The sequence below is a fragment of the Homo sapiens genome, chromosome 9, assembly GCF_000001405.40.
Source record: "Homo sapiens chromosome 9, GRCh38.p14 Primary Assembly".
NCBI lineage: Eukaryota > Metazoa > Chordata > Mammalia > Primates > Hominidae > Homo > Homo sapiens.
Genome location: NC_000009.12, coordinates 78,210,488 through 78,215,296, shown reverse-complemented (window position 1 = coordinate 78,215,296; position 4,809 = coordinate 78,210,488). Strand labels below are relative to the sequence as shown.

General features: G+C 40.9%; 1 annotated feature.

Annotated features, from left to right (window-relative positions):
- Window positions 3,981-4,300: an enhancer, noted in NCBI's record as "active region_28486". NCBI's record gives its function as "activates an Ori minimal core promoter by ATAC-STARR-seq in GM12878 lymphoblastoid cells {active_cell/tissue: GM12878}" and the evidence as "EXISTENCE:reporter gene assay evidence [ECO:0000049][PMID:35858748]".

The window sequence follows — 4,809 nt, the reverse complement described above, 5'->3', positions numbered from 1 at the left end:
AATCTCCTGTGGTAGGGTCACCTTTTGTCATGCGATCACGACCTGGTGATCTTGCTATGGGTTTCTTTTGAGTTCAACCATCCTTCTCTCTGGACATAGTATGAAGCAGTTTGGCTAGATACATAGGTGTTACCAGCTTCAGCCTGGCTTAAGAAAAGATGTAGCTAAGTACTGAAAGAATTTAACTACTTCTTTTGCTGGTAAGGTAGCTCTCCGGGCCTCTGGAGGACCAACCAGTGGCACAGAAGTGTAACTCTGACACTTACTAGTTGTGTGATCTGAGCCAAATTCCTCAAATTCTCCAAACTACATCCGTAAAATGGGCATTATGATACCCATCTCATTTATGTAAGCTTGTAGCTCAAGGTCTGGCTTATTTTAAGTGTTCAAGAAGTAATAGGTGACTGTTTTAATTGAAAGTTAAAATGTTCAAATTTTTTTTTCTCTTAATATGTAAAATAACCTCATTGATGGAGGTTGTATAAACTTGCAAAACACTTCCATACTTAGTAACCAACTGTAAGACTACGCTACTCTGGACTCTGGATTTTTCAGCATCAAGTAAGGGACAGTAAATATTTATAACAGCAACACAATCCTTGTTGCCACAGCTCACAAGGGCCTATTTATTAAAACAGGTGGCATTAAGCCAAGAGTGACTATTAAATTTGTAAGTTGAATTTTTTTGAATAGTGATAGCCCCCTTACTAAGCAAAAGAAGACAAAAAAAAAAGCCCTACTTCTAACACTTGGGAATTTCTAACTAAATAGTTTCTTTTTTGTGATGGCAAGATTTATCCCTTATATTAGAAACACACGTGAGACCGTGAGACCATGAATCCATGGTATGGGTTTTAAGACTGCAGAATTAGCTGGACTTAGGGAGCACTTAGTTGATCCTCAGATCTCAAGTGGGGGCCAAATTTAATGCTTCTGAGTAAGGTTATTTTTATACATGAGATTCTATGTACTATTTACTAGTAATTTTTTTCAGCTTTGTGCATGCATCAAAAACTCAGTCATTTTACAAATTGCAACATAAATAGCAATTCCATCCACACAGTTTTTGGCAGAAAGAAGTTTCTTTCCACAAAATCCACTCAGTTTTGCTTGTTTTATTCTCCTATTTGCCAGTATATACTAAGGAGAATCCATTCTTACTGATATTGCTGGCCTTTTTAAAAGCCTTCCCACTTGCCTCTTACAAACTGAGGCTCTACTGACAAATGGCTTTTTCTCCCTGCATTCTGTGGAAAGCTTACAAATGCTGAATGCTAAGTGGAAGGCAACCAAAACCCAAATTCACAAACGTGTGCACTTGAAAATGTGCAGTTGGAGTCAATCCTTTGTCTGGAGCCCAGAGGAAAATACTTGATTCTGTTACTAGGTGGCAATGTTCCTTTACCAAAAGGGTGGTTATTAGCGTCTGCTCTAAAACAGAAAGGAAAACGCTGCCTTCTTGACCCATCCTTAGCAACTTTTTAACCAGACTTCTTGGTTTAAGACCACAAAGAGACATCAGTAATGTCAGAAATTCCAAGGTTGGAGTGCACAAACGAAAACTTATTCCCCTGGTCACTGTACATTGCAAAACTCTATGATATAAAGCACATGGTTGCTTCCAATGACTGTAAAAATCCTCTCTAGGCTGGGACTAGAAGTATATTCCAGGCCTTAGTGAACAAGTGATATAATCTCACTTGTCCAATGATCAGTGGTATAGTATTAATTTTATTTATGAAAAAACAGCCCTTGCATTGAGGTTCTTTTTAAAAAAAGGAGTTTCTTCCATCCCATTATCAGTTAGGGTTACCAGATTTAGTAAATCAAAATACAGGACAGCTAGTTAAATTTGAATTGCAGATAAACAATGAATACACTTTTTAGTATAAGTATGATCCTTGCAATAATTTGCAACTACTGATACTAAAAAAATTATTTGTTATTTATCAAAAAAAGTTCTGAATGAGTGGGCCTGGTACCTACATTTTAAAAAATACGGTGTTTTCCGTACAGATAATTCTCAGATCACACTTTCAAATAGCAAGAGTCTGAAGCTGTGAGATCATGAATCTCCTTGAGAATCAAGTCTTTTCCCAGAAAACACTCATATAAACTCAATACTTTCACACAACTTCAGTGAAAGAACTGAAATTCAGAATTGGCTAGAGCCTACAAACCTCATGAACCCCAAGTTAAGCACTAGCCTTAGTAATCTCATGTGGTTTACTGAAAAGCTTGGCTCTTCCACAGAAGTGAGATGAGAACAGGCTCATTTTGAGCCCTCCCACTTGGCCTACTCTTTGTCCTTCCCAACACTTCTCAGCACAAGGAGAGCATTTTTTTTTTTTTTTTTTTTTTTTTTTTTTTTACTTTCCACAAGAAATAATCCATAATCCCCTGCAACAGTATGAGTTCCCTACTTAAGTGACATGCTTTTTCTTTAGTGCCTCCCAGTTACCTCTGTAAAAGGATTGTTTGGAAATAGGGTCTGCCTGAATGAAGCCTAGAGGCTGTAAACAAAATTCCTCTTCATCAAAGATGCAAGTAAACAATTCTGGGCCAAACTGAACCACAGAGAGGTCATCTTAAATGCCCATCAAGCCATAAAAGGGTAGCCAGGGGATTGAAATTTTACACCTGTGTAAGGCAGGGAAGTAATACTGAAGTTAAAATAAAATAGCAGGCTCATACACTTAAAGATGGTTATTAAGCAGAGGTTGTCACCTTATCTCTGTGAGAACTAGTCTTGCAGATGCCTTGAGAAGAAGGAGTCCCAGCGTGGGACTCTGAGGGCCTTGGTGTGCTGACCCTGTGGCAGGGCCATTGCCCACTACACACTAGCTTTGGGTGGGAGGTGTAGAAGTTGCAGTGAAGTCCCACACTCATGGAGCAGCTGTAGTGCTGAGAAAGTGCATTAGAAGGCATAGGTTGTGTTCAGAGATAAGGCACCCATGATACCCCTCTGAAGTCCCTTTAAGGTGCTCATCCTGCCACCTGTAAAGCATCTAAGGCACCCTGGCCCCAGGTCGGGGGATGGAACCACAGTAAGGCTGTGGTATTACTGTCCCTTGGAGCTGAAATAAGTGCCGGGTAAGATGGCACTGGGACTTGGTTGAGTCACTAAGGTAGAAGTCCCAAGGCCCTCCATTAAATTTCTCCCACCTGAAAGTCTGGGCCTCATGAAGGTAAAAACTGCTACACAGGGAAGGTGTCTCTGAAGCTGCTGGAGCTCCCTGTTGGGCTGGACCAGAGCCCTTCCGTAACCTCGGCACTCTTGCAAGAGAAGGCAACCCCACTGTATTATACTCTCATGGGCTGGAATAGGCCGGAGTCCCAGGCTTTAGCGCTTTGGGTTTATAGGGATAACCACTTCTCCAGAAGTACCATGGTTAATTTATTTCAATGACTCTATTGGCTAGCCTCCTACTGGCTCTCAACCTAGCCTCATGGACCTCTTTAATTCATAAAGGTAGGCTGGCATGGGGAGAGTATTGCTCCATTTTCCTTTGGAGATGGAAGTCTTAGTATATCTTAATTACCAGACAATGGAGTCTTCATTCCTTCTTTAGATTTGCCTAACCAAGAAAACCTCAGAGTAACATTCCAAGAGCAAAGATGAACATCTATCCTGAAAACAAATAAACAAACAAGCAAAAAAGCTGCTTTCGACTACAAAGCTACAGCAGGACACTTTCTCTGCAGTGAAATGACTGAGTCAAAGGATACGGGCATTTGAAAAGCCCTCTTTTGTGTAGCCACTATGTGGAATAAAGACAACTCATGTGATATAACTGTAAAACAATTTCTTATTTCCCAGTGCCCCTTTAACTGTTTCGTTCTTCCTCTCTCCTGATTGAAAACTCCTATAGTCCCACGCGATGATCAAAATTTTAATCTTCGTTCAAAGGTCAATCATCCTGCCTTTCCCACTGTGGTACTGTTTCAGGACAAGGTCGACTTCTCCATCCTACCCATAGCACTTTCCCTCCATCTGCCCATCAAGGCTATGATTAGGCCACCTGTAAAAGTCTGTCTTGGCTTCCTCAGGCTGGAACTGCAAGGTGGGAAAGGAAGTGAAAAGGGCGAGAAAGTTCTTATTTGATTGATGTTGTCAGTGGATGGCTTCTGCTTGCTGGAGCGTGAAGCTGTTTTTTTCTCTTATGTGCATTTTTTGTGGGTTATCATGAAAGCTGCCATTGTTGGGGGATGCTTCTCTTTCCGTTTCTTTGATGTGGGAAATGATGTCTCTTCTAGCTGGTCACTGGCAGCTCCTCTTGCGACTTCTCACCATCCAGTGACCCACAGCTAGCTTCCTTCTTCTGATGTTCTCTTAGTCTTCAGATAGCCCTCAGAAAGATTCTTGATGCTCCCAGACTGCCTGCCTCTCAAGAGTGGTACAAACCTCTTCCTCAGGAAATACACTTTCTTTGGCCACAGCCACCTCTCCTAGATCAGCTTCTAAATACTTCTATCTCACTGTGTTTACATTTCTTAGTGGGAATCAGACACAAGTATAGTCCCCTAAATCAAGCTTGTCCAACCTGTGGCCCATGGGCTGCATGCAGCCCAGGATAGCTTTGAATGCAGCTCAACACAAATTCATAAACTTTTTAAAACATTATGACATTTGCTTGCAAATTTTTTTTAAAGCTAATCAGCTGCTGTTAGTATATTTTTATGTATGGCCCAAGACAATTCTTTCAATTGTCTTTCAATTCTTTCTTTTGGTCCAGGGAAGCCAAAAGATTGGACACTGCTGCCTTAAACTGAATGTAGCACATCTTGAATTCTCTATGTGGGCTCCTT